This window comes from Homo sapiens, chromosome 1, assembly GCF_000001405.40.
Source record: "Homo sapiens chromosome 1, GRCh38.p14 Primary Assembly".
NCBI classification, from domain to species: Eukaryota; Metazoa; Chordata; class Mammalia; order Primates; family Hominidae; genus Homo; species Homo sapiens.
The window spans coordinates 151,923,282-151,940,928 of NC_000001.11; the positions used below are offsets into that span (position 1 = coordinate 151,923,282).

The 17,647-nt window shown below is 38.8% G+C and overlaps 1 long non-coding RNA gene across 1 annotated transcript in view, besides 2 other annotated features; it reads right to left on the reverse strand.

Moving 5' to 3' along the window:
* The window catches only part of LOC124904421 (uncharacterized), a 31,359-nt gene that overhangs the window by 1,004 nt on the left and 12,708 nt on the right, over positions 1 to 17,647 (reverse strand). The window contains exon 2 of the long non-coding RNA XR_007066624.1: positions 679 to 763. This is a non-coding gene — a long non-coding RNA (uncharacterized LOC124904421). The remainder of the gene's footprint in view (positions 1 to 678; positions 764 to 17,647) is intronic.
* Positions 7,108 to 7,157: a silencer, noted in NCBI's record as "silent region_1331". NCBI's record gives its function as "represses an Ori minimal core promoter by ATAC-STARR-seq in GM12878 lymphoblastoid cells {active_cell/tissue: GM12878}" and the evidence as "EXISTENCE:reporter gene assay evidence [ECO:0000049][PMID:35858748]".
* Positions 13,297 to 13,942: an enhancer, noted in NCBI's record as "OCT4-NANOG hESC enhancer chr1:151909054-151909699 (GRCh37/hg19 assembly coordinates)". NCBI's record gives its function as "activates a minimal SCP1, AML or CMV promoter by ChIP-STARR-seq in naive H9 embryonic stem cells {active_cell/tissue: H9 hESC(naive)}" and the evidence as "EXISTENCE:reporter gene assay evidence [ECO:0000049][PMID:30033119]".

Below are 17,647 nucleotides of genomic sequence, written 5' to 3' on the forward strand. Positions count from 1 at the left end.
ATTTCAGGAGTAAATAAGGTTATAAAACACCTTCTTCTTAAGATGTGGGCTATGAAGATGGGAAAGGGTGATTAATGACCGCTCTAGCTTCTTCCTGCCAACATGGGGCATAATGGGAGTAGGTGTTGACCCTAAGGTAAGAGGAGTGGAACTGCTTTGCAGCTGTTTGCACATGCTCAAGTGCAATGGGGTTTCAAGGCTTGCATGATAAAGGCATTAGTATTCTCATTTATAATTTTAACACAACATTTAAGTGAACAGTGAATTAGAAGGTAAATAATGAGTCCTAGGATAAAGAGTGAAACTCCTGGCTTCAGAAGTCTTTGTATAATTGATCTTAATCTCTGAGGGATCCAGGTAAATAGCTCCAAGAAACAGTCAGACAGGGGTCACTAGCAGAAAGAGATTTAGGTCAGAGGTTGTTAGACCGATTGGGATAGATGGGAAAGAGCATATTTAAATATACCATTCCATACATTTTTAGTCAGTTTCCTAGTCCTGAGACTAGATCAGTTCAGTTAAATAGCTATTTCTCATATCAGGAGAGTGGCATTGCAGATGGGCTAGGCCTCTATATGTGATGAAGGCACACAGATTTTAAATAAGAGGCATTTCTATGGAACAGAAGAAAAATGTTAATGTTGGGCATAACTTATCCAGATGTTAGACTCAAAATACCTTTAGTTGTAGACGAGGAAGCATGGCAATCTGACACATTTTTGTCAACCGTAGGACAAGGAATGAGCTTTAGCTTGCAGGGCCTCTGGAAAAAGGTAGTAAAAATTTCATTGAGTGGAAGTCAGAAAAGTGGAAGAAAAATTTGAAAGCATTAGTTTGGGGGCTCATAGCCCACAAAGAATTCAGAATTTAGTACAAATTGTAGAAAATAATAAAAACTCAAGAACAACAGACAAGACTAGAATCTTTTTGTTGTTGTTGTTTTTTTGAGACAGAGTCTTGCTCTGTCACCAGGCTGGAGTGCAGTGGTGCAATCTCGGCTCACTGCAACCTCCACCTGCCAGGTTCAAGTGATTCTCCTGCCTCAGTCTCCTGAATAGGTGGGACTACAGGCGCCCACCAGCACGCTTGGCTAATTTTTGTATTTTTAGTAGAGACGGGGTTTCACCATGTTGGCCAGGATGGTCTTGATCTCCTGACCTCGTGATCCACCCGACTCGGCCTCCCAAAGTGCTGGGATTACAGGCGTGAGCCACTGCGCCAGGCCCAAGACTAGAATCTTAACAAGTATACTACAGTTCTTTTGAAACACAATTTTTCTCTCTCCAGCACCCCATTTTTTAAAGACAAAATATAGGACAAATTTACTTGCAAAATAAGTCTTAGTTTTAAGACTTATTATGCTTGGCCCAATTATTTGTATAAAGTAGAGCAAGAGTAACTTTTTTGCATATTAGAAATATTTATTCAGAATAATGGCATTAATTGCTTTTAATAGTTTAGAAAAGACCCATCCCCCAAAGATCCAGGGCAGCTCCTCTAAGTAAACACAATATGCTGTAGTAAACTGTATGCATATTTCCACTGAGTAAAGATTATAAGAAGCCTCAGGTCAGGTCTTACCACCAAATTCCAAAACACTTGGAATGCAGGTAGCCAGGGACATTGGCAGGTTTTGTCTTGATAAGCAGATAAGAATGGTAGGAATGCTGGTTGATTATCACCCAATCTGCTTTTTTATACCTGAAGTATTCACAGCAACTTATTTTAAAAAGCTTTAAAAAGTTATACACCTCCATCCCCTACAACCCCCAATCCAGAATGTGGGACAAGGGTGTTGAGCAGTATGATGGACTTGGTCTATTCTTAACATTTTACATTTAATACTTCTAACCGCTGTTTGAGGTGGGTACTGTTATTTCCATTTTACAGATGTTGAAACTGAGGCAGAGAAGAAATTAAGCTAGGAAGCAAGGATCTAAAAACAATGATTTCTGCCTAGGAAGGGTAGGAGGGGTGGAGCTTAGGATTTGAAAACTGAAAGCTGATCTCTTAATTTATTCTGAAACTTGAAAAGAGACTTGGCAGGCAGTGGTTTAAAAAGTTGTTTGTATCAAGATTTTTGCTATAGACAAGTTCCAGGGCTTGAAAGTAACAGTACTTGTAGGCCATGTGTTTGGTCATTGCAGGTCTTGGGATACACATTCTTAAGGTACTTTCCAGTGTCTGGGGAGTTTCTAGTCTCAGTGGATTCTTGAGAAACATGTGCATTAGTTGGGTGCTGAAGACAAACCAAAGTAGGAGACTAACAAGCACTTAAGTGGGGGTTTGACCCCAAATCTGGAACTTTATTGATCAGGGACTATGGCACTATATAAAACTGTGTGCTTTCTTCCTTAGAGGAAATAGCAAGAGACTAGGACTCCCTGGGCTGGATGATCACAAAGCACCTTGTAAAATCAGCAAAGCAGAGCAGACTGTTAGTTATTATACAACAGGTCTACGAGACCATTTACAGTCTTTATTGATTCCACTTAGGGGGCCATTTTGTTGTAGGAATATTACAGTGTAGCAAGAATAATTATTTGCCAAATAGGCTCTTTTTAAAATCGGCTTTGCTGAAACTTTGTTCTATAAGGAATCTCAGATTATACTTTTTAAAGCCTTGAGTCCAGCCTTGGATTTATCTATGCCTGAAAATATCTGTATGAGTTGGATGAATGTTCTTTCTCTTTTTATTTTTTTTTTTTTTGAGACGGAGTCTCGCTCTGTCGCCCAGGCTGGAGTGCAGTGGCGCGATCTCGGCTCACTGCAAGCTCTGCCTCCCAGGTTCACGCCATTCTCCTGCCTCAGCCTCCCGAGTAGCTGGGACTACAGGTGCCCGCCACCATGCCCAGCTAATTTTTTGTATTTTTTTTTTTTAGTAGAGACAGGGTTTCACCATGTTAGCCAGGATGGTCTCAATTTCCTGACCTTGTGATCCACCCGCCTCAGCCTTCCAAAGTGCTGGGATTACAGGCGTGAGCCACCGCGGCCGGCCATGTTCTTCCTCTTGAGGTCCCAAGATAATGTAGGGCTCCTGGGCCTGTCAGAAAGTGACATTGTTTACTTAACACAGGTCAGGAACTCTGTACAAGGACTGTGTAGACAAAGTATGAGGCCAGCTATCCTGTAAGTAAAATTTGATTCCTTAAAGCAATCTGTTTATATTTGAAAGCATGCCATTCTAGTCAAAGCCTTGGTAAAATAACCAGAATCTCTAACTGTGTTCTGTTACAAAAGAAAACAGAATCTTTTTGCACTTATGCAAATAAATATACTGCCGTAAGTTGAGAATACTCACAAAATCTTTCTAAATTCTGGAGAAATCAGGTAGGGAGAAAGCAATATGCTCCAAATTTTGTTCACAGGAGTATACTCAATTGGTAAAGTTGTAAACAGTTCAAAAGAAAAAACTTGTATTAACTGAAAAACAAAAGGATTGGCAATGTTTAACATTATCCACCTCTCCAAGAGAGTCTTAGAAGTTTGTTTTTTTTCCCTCTCTATTACAATGGTGCAATTTCTAAAGTTATCAGAGACTGGTATTCAAGAGTACCTGTCAGAGCTCTAGGTTTAATTATAAACTGCCTTGTGAAAAGGATTAAAGTAGAGAAGGCATCAGACTCCTTTTTGGGGAGAAACCTCTGTTTTCCCTTATGAAACCTCATGAGTATAAATAGCCAAGTTCCTCTCAGATCTTAAACTTCTTGATTTTGTATTGTGTTACCTGATTTTTTTTTTTCTGAGTGAAAATAGTTATTACAGCAGAAGCTACTCTTGGATGTTTAAGATAGGAAAGAGTGTAGTGTAGACACTTAGAGAAATGCCTTTGTCAAAAAAAAAAAAGGTGCACTGTAAAAGCATCACTGGGTCTAGCCTCATGAAAATTCTTTTTTTTGGAGACCCAGGATTCAGGGTGGGCTCTGCCCAGAGCTCAGAGATCCTGTTAAAAGATAGAGACTAAAATTAGAACTACCTATCTAAATGAAATTGGTCTCATTATACAACTCTATGATAGATTTCTATAATTTTATGTTTGACTTGGCATTTTTTTTTTTGAGACAGGGTCTCATTCTGTTGCCCAGGCTGGAGTGCAGTGGCACAATCTCTGCTCACTGCAACTTCTGCCTCCTGAGTTCAAGTGATTCTTGTGCCTCAGCCTCCTGAGTAGCTGGGACCACAGGTATACGCTACCACATGTATGCACTACCACACCTGGTTAATTTTTTTAGTAGAGATGAGGTTTCACCATGTTGGCCAGGCTGGTCTTGAACTCCTAACCTCAAGTGATCCACCTGCCTCGGCCTCCCAAAGTGCTGGGATTACTCGCATGAACCACCACGCCTGGCCTGGCGTCTGTTTTAATTTTCCTCTAGCACAACAGACTTTTTCTCTCTATTCTGAGATGTAAATTTTGCTGATTTTTTTCACCTAAAAGTTGTTTCCTTTAATATGCAAATTTAAGGCTATCTAGCTGACAACTGCCTATGGTAATGAAACAGGTTATTCAGATATTAGAAGTTTAAAATAAGAGGAAAAAAAGAAGTCTTATGAATCTGTAACATTTACTTCTATCTGTGTGCCTAATATGTCTATGTATTCATATGTTGTGTATATAATGTTTCACTACTACAAATATATAAAAGAGTTCTAATTAATTGGCTTAAAGAAAAAAGTGCTTAAAAAATAGAGACATTAAGTCAAATGCTCTTTCAAGTTCACATGACTTAAGTAAAATCTTAAGCTGGCTTTAAAATTATTGGTAAAATAATTATTAGAAACATCTTAAGAATTGTTAGGTTTTTTTTGCATTTATTGATCAAGAGGTTTATACTTATCGCTGCAGAACACTATAAGGTGTCAAAATTTGCCATGAGGATTATAAAACTATAAACCTAGCCCAAAACAGAATGATCTTTGCTTGTTTAATTTTTGATAAATAAGACATTTAATGTTGGTTTAATGAAAACAGCTAAATCCTGAGTTATTGGTTAAATACTCATACTTTTAACCATAAGTTCCTTAGTTAGGTAAATGGCTGAAATTAATAGGTTATAAAAATGATTAACAGGGAAATAACTTTAAATAATGACTGTCACAGTTTTCATAAATAATATAGGTAAACTATCAAATAATTTAATCAGGTAAGTGTAATGGAATAAATGCTTGTAAACAAATTTGTCATAATTTAGAATCTAAGATTATATTAAATATTAATTAAATGTATAATTTCCAATTTAAACATTATAGGAAAACATTTTAAAAAGTGTTGTTATTAAAGGTAAATATTTTTTGTCTAATTCAAAGGTTTTTTTTTTTTTTTTTTGAGGCAGAGTCTCGCTCTGTCACCCAGGCTGGAGTGCAGTGGCACAATCTCGGCTCACTGCAAGCTCTGCCTCCTGGGTTCATGCCATTCTCCCGCCTCAGCCTCCCAAGTAGCTGGGACTACAGGCGCCCGCCACCACACCCGGCTAATTTTTTGTATTTTTAGTAGAGACAGGGTTTCACCATTCACAGGATGGTCTCGATCTCCTGACCTTGTGATCCACCTGCCTTGGCCTCCCAAAGTGCTGGGATTACCGGCGTGAGCCACCGCGCCCAGCCAATTCAAAGATTATTTAAAGTTTATATATAAAACAAAGTAAAAGGAACCAGGAAGTAAGAGAAATGTAAATTTATAGATATAAGGAGGTATTTTGGCTAAGAAAGTTTAAATGAAAAGTGATTTTATATGAGAAAGTATCTTATGTGGTGAATTTTTTTGTACTAAAACAAGATAACTGGTTGCTCCAGAAAGAGAGGTGTTTAGGACAAGCCATAAAGTTGAAGCATGCTATGAATGGCCTATGTAAGTTGTAAATAAGGATAGTAAAAAAAGGAATTTATTTTTAAAAAAGGTTATATAATTCAGTTGGTGATAGTTAAATATAATAGACTTTCTAGAGATGAGATTTTGATATTAAAATACACAAATACAAAACTGAAGAATTGGTTAGAACAAGATTTTATTAAAAATATTGATTTACTCTTAATGCAAGAAGTTTTTAATTTTTAAATTCTGTAATCTGTCTCTTTGAAATTCTTCAGATTATTATATCAGAAGTTTAGCTCTTTCTCTCTTTTGAAAAGGCCTGGGAGGTAACTCTCTTCTTTACCTTTTTTTTGAGATGGACTCTCACTCTGTTGCCCAGTCAGTGGCATGATCTTGGTTCACTGAAACCTCTGCCTCCTGGGTTCAAGCAATTCTTGTGTCTCAGCCTCCCAAGTAGTTGGGATTACATGCATGTGCCACCATGCCCCACTATTTTTGTGTGTGTGTGTGTGTGTGTGTTTTTAGTAGAGATGGGGTTTTACTATGTTGGCCAGGCTGGTCTAGAACTCCTGAGCTCAAGTGATCCGCCGGCGTCGGCCTCCCAAAGTGCTAGGATTACAGGTGTGAGCCACTGTACCTGGTCTCTTCTTCACCTTTTGTTGGCCCCTGTAACTTTTCTTTTTTTAATTAGTAATCTAAAGTAAGGGACATAATTTTTTTTGGAAAACAAGCAAATGAAAAATCTTTTGGACTTGCCTTTTTTATTCTGTATGCCTGTTATATCTGTATGTTATATGGGTCATGTGGAAGTGATATTTCACTACCAAACTATGTGAAAGAGTTCTAGTTAGTTGACTTTAAAAAAGTAAGCACTTATCAGACTGCTAGAAGCTAGCTCAGATGCCTTTTAATTCACATGGCCTTGATCGTCTTTGGTAACATTAATTTGGTATTTAATCTGAAAATTCTCTCCAGTAGTTTAAAATCTCCCTAAAATGTATAAAATCAAGCTGCGCCCTGACCACCTGGGGCACATGTTCTTAGCGTCTCTTAAGGGTTGTGTCACAGGCCATGGTCGGTCACATTTTGCTCAGAATAAAACTCTTCAAATATTTTACAGAGTTTGATTTTTTGTTGACAGTAGGCTCAGAGACTCTAGCAGAGACACATGGTGAAAGATTTATAGACAGAAAAAGGAACATGATATACACAAAACAAAAGTGAGGTACAGAAATAGCTGGATTGGTTACAGCTCAGTGTTGCCTAATTTAAACACAGTTTGAACAGTTGGCCACCTTTGGCCAAAACTCTGTGATTGTCAGGAGAGTAGGTTACAATCTGTTTAACCTCCATTTAGGTTATAGTATACTGTGTACAGAGAAACTTTTAGGGAGAACTTAAAATATGGAAGGAGGCAGCTTTAGGCTAAACTTGATTTAACAGTTTCCTTATTTTGGTCATCTTCTCAATTTTGAGAAATTGACCAAAACTTTAGTCATTGTCACCATCATAAATGTACTTATTTGGTCTTCAAACCCACTGATAAATAGCAGACCAGTGGGTTTTGTAAGGTGGGAACAAGAACTTCAGATTATTTTTTTGGTAAGGGTTAGAGTAGAGGATACCTCCTCATGCTGGAATCTTCTGTTTACAGGAGAAAAATAAAACTTGGTCTGTTTTAGGATCTATCTGTTTCTTAAAGTCTTAGTTTGATGTGTCACATTTAGCATGAATTATTCCACTTTGGTTTGATCTGGTTTGTTGGGGCCTAGAGCCTGAGCTCAGTCCAAAACAATGGCCACTCATAATTTTGTTTAAAAACTCCCCGCTTTTGGTCAGGTTCTCCCTTAGGTGAGAGTATAACCAAAACTTAGAGCCTTAACGCTACTCTCAGTTACCATCATTTTGGGTTTTCATTCTCAGCATGTCATTCATAGGTTACAGTGCCCTCATGGTCACACATTTCTCTCAGCTCTTCTCATTCTAGTGGAAGAGAGACCATTTAACACTCTAGAGATGGCTGCATGCAAATATCTAAAAGTTTTGAGGGAATACGGCAGACCGGGGAGACTACTATTATGACTATCAAAAGGATAATGCCAAGAGTTTGGTGTATGCTCCTTAGCCAGGGTCCCCATGAACCAAACCAACTAAAATCAAATAGATCAAATAATGAGTTAGATTAATAGTCTACTCACTTTAACCAAGCAGCCTGTTTATTAATCCCCTATAACTGAGTCTTTATAATACTCTATGTATTTCTCCAAGGGCAACAAGAAGTGCCAGCAACTGCACAGATACTTTTCTGTTTAGCCAGTTAGTAATCTAGAGCCATTCTACTATTTGGCATAACTTTCACAAGATAATTTATTTATTTGATTTATTTTATTCTTTTTTGAGATGGAGTCTCACTCTGTCACCCAGGCTGGAGTGCAGTGGCATGATCTCGGCTCACTGCAACCTCCACCTCCTGGGTTCAAGAGATTCTCCTGCCGCAGCCTCCTGAGTAGCTGGGATTACAGGTGTGTGCCATCACGCCCACCTAATTTTTGCATTTTTGGTAGAGAAGGGGCTTCACCATGTTGGTCAGGATAGTCTTGAATGCCTAACCTCAAGTGATCCACCCACCCTCAGCCTCCCAAAGTGGTGGGATTACATGTGTGAGCCACCGCGTCTGGCGTGGAAGCTTGCTTTCTGAGATTCCAGGCTGTTCTCTTTAACTTGGATAAAGACCTTCTCTTTGGATCATCTCTCTTGTCCTTGTACTCCTCATTTTTAAAAACTGCATTCCCTGTAGTTTCTCCCTAGCATGGGTCCCTGTCTTGGAAGGGAGCCTTGGCAAATGAATTTTGAGTTCATAGGGGCCAGACTGCTCCAGCCCTCTTAAGTCCTTACTGTGGGCCTCTTGTACTTACCTCCTATTGGAGAGATCAGATCTTTCCCTTTTCAGCTGTGTCTTCCATACCTATTACTGTTGGAGAGTTCTCAGGTCCATCAGACACTGTCTCCATTTCTTCATTCTTCTTCCTCACACACTGATGCAGAAACCATGCAAGTTTTGTGACTGCTGGTTTGTCCCCACTTGTTTGTATTTTGAGGCTCGTGGGAATACTTTGTCATTTGTTTTTTTGTAAATGTCTGTAGGGTTTGGTTTTGCTATCTAGTTGAGACTTAGCCTGTTCAGGCTGCTATGACAAAATACCTTAGAGAGAGTAATTTACCAACAACAGAAATTTATTTCTCACAGTTGTGGAGGCTGAGAGGTTCAAGGTCAAGGCACTGGCAGACTCAGTGACTAGAGAGGGCCTGTTCTTCATAGGTAGTGCCTTCCATGTGTCCTCACATGGCAGAAGGGGTGAACAGGCTCTCTTGAGCTTCTTTTACAAGGGCACTAATCCTACCCACAAGGGCAGAACCCTCATGATAGAATCCTTTCCCAAAGGCCCTACCTGTTAATATCATCACCTTGGGAGTTAGTTTTCTATATGTGGATTTTGGGGGCAGGGGAGTCACTAACATTCAGACAATAGCAAGTTGCTCGTTTGTTTTTGTGTTAGGATTAGGAAAGATTGAACACCTATGCTGTTGCCCCTGCTGCTGCCATCTTCCCAGAATCTACTATGCTACAGTGTACTTTGCTTTTTGTGTGTGCATATATATATATATATATATATATATATATATATATATATATACACACACATATATATGTATATATGCTTTTGTGTATATATATACATATATATGTGTATATATATATACATATATATGTTTAAATTAATAGACTTTATTTTTTAGAGCAGTTTTAGTTTCACAGAGAAACTGAGTAGTAAGTACAGAGAATTACTATTTACCCCTACCCTCTTCAAACCCAAACAGCTTCTTCTATTATCAATGTCATGCGTTAGTGTAGTGCATTTATTACAATTGATGAGCCAGCAGTGATATTTTAACCAAAGTCCTTAACTTACATTAGGGCTCATTCTTTTTGTTGTATAGTTCCATAGCTTTTGACAGCTGTGTAGTGCCATGTGTATTATATTTCTGTGAGCGTTAAAAAGAAGAATGACCCTCTGCTTAGAAGCGGCTTACCTGTTTCTGGTACAGACACCTTAACACATGGATTTATGCAAGGGTTTTCATGGAGGGGATTCTATGTAATACAACAAATAACAACCTCAAAGAATCCTAACTGTAAAGACAACAAAAGTCTCACAGGGCTAAACCATGTAATGTCTCTTAATTAAGCTGATGGCATCAAATTTCAGTGAAAGAAATTCAAAGGGAATGGAGGCGACCCAGCAGAGGGGGCAAAACAATATAGTACAGTTATTCAGCTTTCTGGTAATCTGGCCTCAGAGAAACATGTACTGTGACTTATATATACTTCAGATAATCTTGCATAAAGTTTTTTGATAGATATTGAGAGGCAGCACCAACAATATAAATGTTTTCTTATTAGACATTCTTTCTCAAATGCAAGCCATTGTTTTGCTTGAGATTCTAAGTCTGGGTTCTCTGCAAGAGGAGAGATGGGCTTTAAACATGGGTAATAGTCCACTGACAACTGTGACATTTCACCAGCTAGTGTAGAAAGGCATTGGGAATAGCACCAGATTTCTTGTAGCCTTTTTTGTTTTTGTTTTTGTGTGGAACTGTTTGCAGCTATATGTTCCATAAAGTTTTAACCTTTCCAAGTGGTTTTAACCTTTCCAATCAGACTATATTAATAGTAACTGTTTTCCATTTATTTAAAAAACTTTTTTCTTCCATTTCTTTTGAAATTACCTTATAATACCACTGACTATACACAAGGGGGAGATCACATAATTTGTTGACAATTTTGATCAGTATGTTGTCACCAAAACTGCACATTAACCCGAAAGAGCCAAAAGAGTGTGTATAAGTTTCCTCTTGTTGCTATAACAATTATTACAAACTTAATGGCTTAAAGCAACACAAATTTATTATTTTACAGTTCTGGAGGTCAGAAATTTGAAGTGGGTCTCAGGGGGCTGAAATCTAGGTGTCAGCAGAGCTGTACTCCTAGAGGCTCTAGGGAAGAATCTGTTTTCTTCCTTTTTCCAGCCTCTAGAGGGAGCCCACATTCTTTGGCTTGGTCCCTCAGCCAGCAATTGTAAAACTACCTCTGCTTCTGTCGTCCCATTTTCTGTAACTCTTCCGCACCTTTCTTCCTTGCACCCTACACCCTTGTTATTACATTGGGCCTGCCCATGTAATCCAGGATAATCTTCCCATCTCAAGATCCTTACTTAATCACATCTGCAAATCCCTTTTGCCATGTGTGGTAACGTATTCACAGACTCCAGAGACTTACTTGGACCTTTTTGGGGGCCCATTATTCTGACCTCCACAAGTGTATTTAGATAATTATCTATTCTTCCATTTATTTTTGTCCTGAATCTTCTGGATTTTTGGTTAGTAGGTAAAATTTTTGACTATTATAAATTTCCTTTGAGTAATTAGGAAGATTTTATACATTTTAAATTATTTCCTGGTAAACTTTTAGGCTGATATTCGTCAATAAATGAACAGGTTATATCTATCTCAATACCTAACAGTTTATTCTTTAAGTGATGACTATTATCTAATTAGGGACTTGGAAGAACTTCAAAGCTTAGTCTTCTAGATTTTACAAAGTGATAGATTGCTCTATTATTTATCATTTTGTTTCCAAACTGAGTATAAAATAGTCAATAGATACGTAAAATGAGACCTCAGAGCTGTTTCCTCTTTTGCAAAGTGAGCGATAAGATGCTCCCCACCTCTCTGTCCAGTTCTTACATTCAATAGAAAGACTAAATACGCCTAGAAGACAATGAAATACGTTGAGTGACTCAAAGTTGCTCAGAAATTACCATGAGGAATACCCATCCTAGCTTTCCTTGAACCCTGGACTGCAGTGCTCATCACCATCAAATCTCATGGAATATCTGGTGGGCTAGATTTTGAGTTGTTGCTTTTTGGGTACTCTGCCAGGTGGTATTGTACAGCAGACACATTAAAAGTGACTGAAGTGCAATATTTGTGTCCTCCCCTGAGTGGGATTAGGATCAGAGAAAGTAGGTTCTAAGACATAGAAACCTGTCATGTGAAAAGTCTTTAGGTGAACAAACTGCAGAAAATTTACGGTTGCAAGAAAAAAGTACAATGAGTTCTAAGACCCTCCTGGAAAATGAGGTTGAGTCATTCTGAGGATAGTGCTTCTCACAGGGGAGCTGGGAGGGGAAGGAGGCAGGGCAGAGCTGGCAGCTGCAGGAAGCATGGGCTCTGCCTGTAGGATTTTTCATTCCATAGCAGAAACCACGGAAACTGCAGCCATCTTCATCATGGAGAGGGCTGGGGAAAACAAAGTGGGGAGAATAAAGAACGGGAGATTATCACAAGACTATTACTTATATTCCCTTGGTTTCTGGTATCACAAGGGTTGTAGAGCACTTAACAATTTTTTTTTTCCTTGAGACGGTCTCGCACCCAGGCTGGAGTGCAGTGGCATGAACATAACTCACTGCAGCCTCGACCTCCCAGGCTCAAGCAATCTTCTCGCCTTAGTTCCCCAAGTAGCTAGGCGCACACCAACATGCCCAACTAATTTTTGTATTTTTTGTAGAGACGGGGTTTTGACATGTTGCCCAGGCTGGTCTCGAACTCCTGAGCTCAAGCAATCTGCCTGCCTCAGCCTCCCAAAGTGTTGGGATTACAGGCGTGAGCCACCGTGCCTGGCCACAATATATTTTTCTCTTTGGAATGAGGTAATAAAAGCAACCACTTACTGAGGAGCTCCCAGTACTAGATATTAAATGAGCCACTTTTTTCAAGTTCAACAGAGTTTAAAGGTAAAAGAAAGAGAGACATTTTATACCCATAATGTCATTTAATTCTCACACATCTATTTAGATACCTCCATTTTTAAACGTGAGGAAACAGCTCCAAGAGATTTATGAGCTTTCCCAAGATCACACAACTAGTAAGTTATGGAGCAGGAATTAAAACCAAAATCTCTCTGACAAGTTTCATGCTTTTTAACTAAATCACAGCAAACTACACTACCAGTCTTTTATACATGTTGGTGAAATCTCTCAATAAATATGGAGAGTGCCAAAGCTAATCTCATTATCATTCCCAGAAACATACTGGAACAGGAATTAAAAGAAATTAAGGAGTGTATAAGCAAAAACTCAGTTGTATATTAAAAAACCCAATTCCCCCTGAGAAAGAGAAAGAGCTGGAGTCCTTTAAAAATTAACTGCCTGTTTTTCTGTGGCCAATAAGCCTTATCTCTCCTCCTTTCCCAAACATTGTAAAAACCCTGTTTCCCTAGCTATACAACTACAAAGTCACTAAACAAACTCAAGTCATAAAACATGTTTCTCCTTAAAAAATAAAAAATAATATAATACGTCTCAATTAACTAAATAACTGCCTTTGTTTCTCTCTTCTATAATATGCTTCCCCCTGCACAAATCTCCCCCTGCCCCCAAAAATACTTAAAAAATAACTCTTTATTCAAAACTCAGTCCTTTAAATATTAATCCGACTGGGCCAATACACCTAAATAGTTAATAAATATCCTTCTAAACCCCATCAGTCTCTCTAATTCCTTAAAAATCGCGCAACAATACAACTGTTGAAACCTGTACTTACTCTCTCATTGTTAGACCCAGGTTTCTATATGAAGGTCAAACATGGTCTGATAAGCTTCGTTAAGTAAAAGAAAGCAAGTAGCCTTGAGGTCCCGCAGGGAGCATCAGACACCCCCTGAAGCTTGCGACTCATTTATCTTTAGCACAGTTCAATAGGGCCAAAGGGCACGGTGATAGGGATAGCCCTCTGTTGGGGGATGAAGGGTAGGAGTAAGACAAAGGGAAACTTCCAGATGGAGAGAGGAGATGTCTCAATTTCCTCCCTGCTGTTTCCCTATCACGTTTCCCTTTCTTTTCTTCCTAACACTGTCCACTATAATTATAATTTGCTTCTTACTTTAACTAAGCTTCTTTATTTCTTATAATCCACCCTCCCCCCTGTCTTTTTTCCCTCTTAAGATTATTTCCTTTATTTTTAAGTGTCTAAATATATTCCTAAAATGTAAATTTTAAATTTAAAATATACTGTTTTAAAATTGTCTCTATACATGTAAACTGAAGGTAACTGATAATATTAGCAGCACTAATATTATAAAAATGTAATTACTACCAAGAGAAGAGAGTGCTAATAGGTACTCACTAATTTTGGGGGGCTTGGGGGAGAAATGAATTAAAATAAAATGTAATTGAAAGTAACAGCAATACGGCCAGGCGCAGTGGCTCATGCCTGTAATCCCAGCACTTTGGGAGGCCGAGGCGGGCGGATCACCTGAGGTCGGGAGTTCGAGACCAGCCTGACCAACATGGAGAAACCCCATCTCTACTAAAAATACAAAATTAGCCAGGCGTGCTGGCACGTGCCTGTAATCCCAGCTACTAGGGAGGCTGAGGCAGGAGAATCGCTTGAACCTGGGAGGCGGAGGTTGTGGTGATCAAGATCGTGCCATTGCACTCTAGCCTGGGCAACAAGAGCGAAACTCTGTCTCAAAAAAAAAAAAAAAAAAAAGTAACAGCAATACTTATAACTTAGAGAAAAGGAAAGTTTAACATGGAAATTAAATTAAGAGAAATTGCGATTGTGATTTCTTTTGCTGTTTTAGAGAAAATTTTCCAGTGGTCTGATTTCACAAAACTGTTCCCAGCAATCTAAAAAAATTATGAACTCAGGCAACCTCACACACATACATAAAAGGTATGAAGCATTAAATTTTATTTAGATTAATGGAATCACAGACTATTAAAGCTGAGTGAGACCTCAGAGACTTTTTCTTCCAGAGTGACAGAAACTCCTTGAGACCAAGGACAATGTCTTGTTCTTTGTCTGTAGAAAGCCAAGCCCCAAGCCCAGTTAGTACTAGGCGTTCTGTAAATATTTTTTACCTGAATGAGAAAATGTGAGGCCCAGAGAGATAATTGACTCATAACTTCATATAGCAAGTTTGTTGTGGAGATGGGCCTAGGACTGGGGTCTCCTGAGCCTTGTCCATTAAAAATTTTTTTTTTGTCCTTTTTGCTCGTCATGGACTTGAAGCTCATGGCTTGTTCATTTTGAGTCACCACAGCTCCACACTCTTCATCTGTTTATCTATTTAAATTCAGCTTCAGGCAGTGTGTGTGTGTTTTCCGAATTCTGATTTTTTCATATATGTTTATTTCAGGTATATTGGTTCTTTATTGCTGCTGTAACAAATTACCATAAATTTAGTAGTTTAAACAACATGGGCCTGGTGCGGTGGCTCACACCTGTAATCCCAGCACTTTGGGAGGCTGAGGAGGGAGGATTGCTTGAGCCCAAGATTTCAGAATCAGCCTGGGCAACATGGCGAGACCCAGCCTCTACAAAAAAGAAAAAAAAATTAGCAGGATATGGTGGTATGTGCCTGTAGTTTCAGCTACTTTGGAGGCTGAGGTGGGAGGATCAATTGAGCCTGGGAGGTTAAGGCTGTAGTGAGCCTTGATTGCACCACTGCACTCCAGTTTGAGCAACACAGCAAGACCCTGTCTCAAAAAAAAAATTAATTTAAAAATAAAAAAGAAAAACAGCACAAATATATTATTATGTTACAGTTCTGTAGATTAGAAGTCCAAACTGGGTTTCACTGGACTAAAATCAAGGTGTCAGCAGGACTATGTTCCTTTCTGGAGGCTCCATGGAAAAACTTGTTTCCTCACCTTTTCTAGCTTTTAGAGACCACCCACATTTCTTGGCTAGTGTCTCCTTCCATCTTCAAAACCAGCAACATTGCATCTCTCTGTGCCATACTTTCATAATCACATCTTCCTCTGGCTCTCACTCTTCTGCCTCTCCTTTCTACTTCTAAGGACTCTTGTGACTACATTGGGCACACCTAGATAATTCCTATTGCAAGGTCATTTGATTAGCAACTTTAATTCTATCTGTAACCTTAGCTCCCTTTTGCCATGTACCCTCATATACTCATAGGTTCTGGGGATTAGGACATGGACATCTTTGCAGGGCAGGGGGCATTATTCTGCCTTCCTCATCGAGTACTAACATAGTTGACATTTTTAACATCATTTTACTAGTTAAAGAATTTAGCTGGCCAGGCCCAGTTGCTTACGGCTGCAATCTCAACACTTTGGGAGGTCAAGGTTGGTGGGTCACTTGAGCCCAGGAGTTTGAGACCAACCTGAGCAACATGGTGAAACATGACTCAACAAAAAATACAAAAATTAGCTGGGTGTAGTGGCATGTGCCTGTAGTCTCAGCTACTCAGGGGCCTGAGGTAGGAAGATCACATGAGCCTGGAAGGTTGAAGCTGCAGTGAGCTGTGACTGTGCCACTGCGCTTCAGCCTGGGCCACAGAGCAAGACTCTGTCTCAAAAAAAGGAATTTACCTGTTTGTACAATCTGGCAATTAATGAATGTCCTATTTATTTATTTATTTATTTGAGATGGAGTCTTGCTGTATCACCCAGGCTGAAGTGCAGTGGCACAGTAATAGCTTACTGCAAACTTGACTTCCTCAGGCTCAAGTGATCCTCTTGCCTCAGCCTCTTGAGTAGTTGGGACTACAGGCCTGTGCCACCATGCCTGGCTAATTTTTTTTATTTTTAGTAGAGATGAAGACTCACTATTTTGCTCAGGCTGGTTTTGAACTTCTGAGCTCAAGCAGTTCTCCCATCTCAGCCTCCCAAAGTACTGGGATTACAGGCTGAGCTGCTGCTCCCAGCCTTGAATTCCCTTTACAACGTGGGCTCTGTAAGTATGTCCTTCCATCATAATGGTCCAACATCCTCTTTTTGTAGCAAACATTTTGTAATGCTCCCTTTGCTCTCCTGAAATGAAGTTCACAGATAATGTAGCATATACTTGCCTAACTTAAAAAACCAAATGGTCATGTAAATGAGAAATAAAAGGGAAGTAATTTATGATAAAATGCTGTTAATTTCAAGAAAGTGATGATGATTGTACCACTTTGTGAATATTATTAAAACCACTGACTTGTATATTTTAAGGGTAAACTTTATGGCATGTAAATTATATCTCAATAAAGTAATAAAGAATATGGCTATTATAACCTAAAAAAAAAATGCTGTTAATTCCAATATGTAATTTCTCAAACATAGCTACTTAGAAGACATAATGATGGAATAAGACTCTTGCAAGTACACACAGAATCACTGTGATTGCAATAACTACAGGTACTGGATGATACAGATTAATTATGCTGGCAAATCAGATTTGTTGTTAGTTATCTAATTTTACAAAATGTGAACAACTCTTGGGAACATTCCAAACAACATGAAGTTTAGTTTTACTTGATTTACATGACAGTTGCATTCCTGGAAAATTTGGTAATATTTATGCTGTACAAAAATGCTTTGTGTTTATATGTAAAATGAAATTAGGCTCCAGGTTCAGATAATCATAAACAGTGTTTTTACTTACATAAAGACTGAGAGGATTTATAAAGTTGTGTAGGACATGGGGGCAGTTTACCATTGCCCTGACCCATGGATTGCAGAACATCTAATATGTAACCCTAACACTACCCAGAAAATGCTGGCAGTGCCTGCCAGTCATTGTGACAACCAAAAAAAATTAAGACTCATTCTAGAAGTGAAATCATCCCGGTTGAGAATCATTGGTCAGTGGGTCAGCATTTTTGAGTTACCTGGGATTTTCATTAGGAGAGATGACAATAATAAAGTTGACATTTGTTGACCACTAGTTATGTGTTATATGCTCTTCTAAACATTTTGTCTG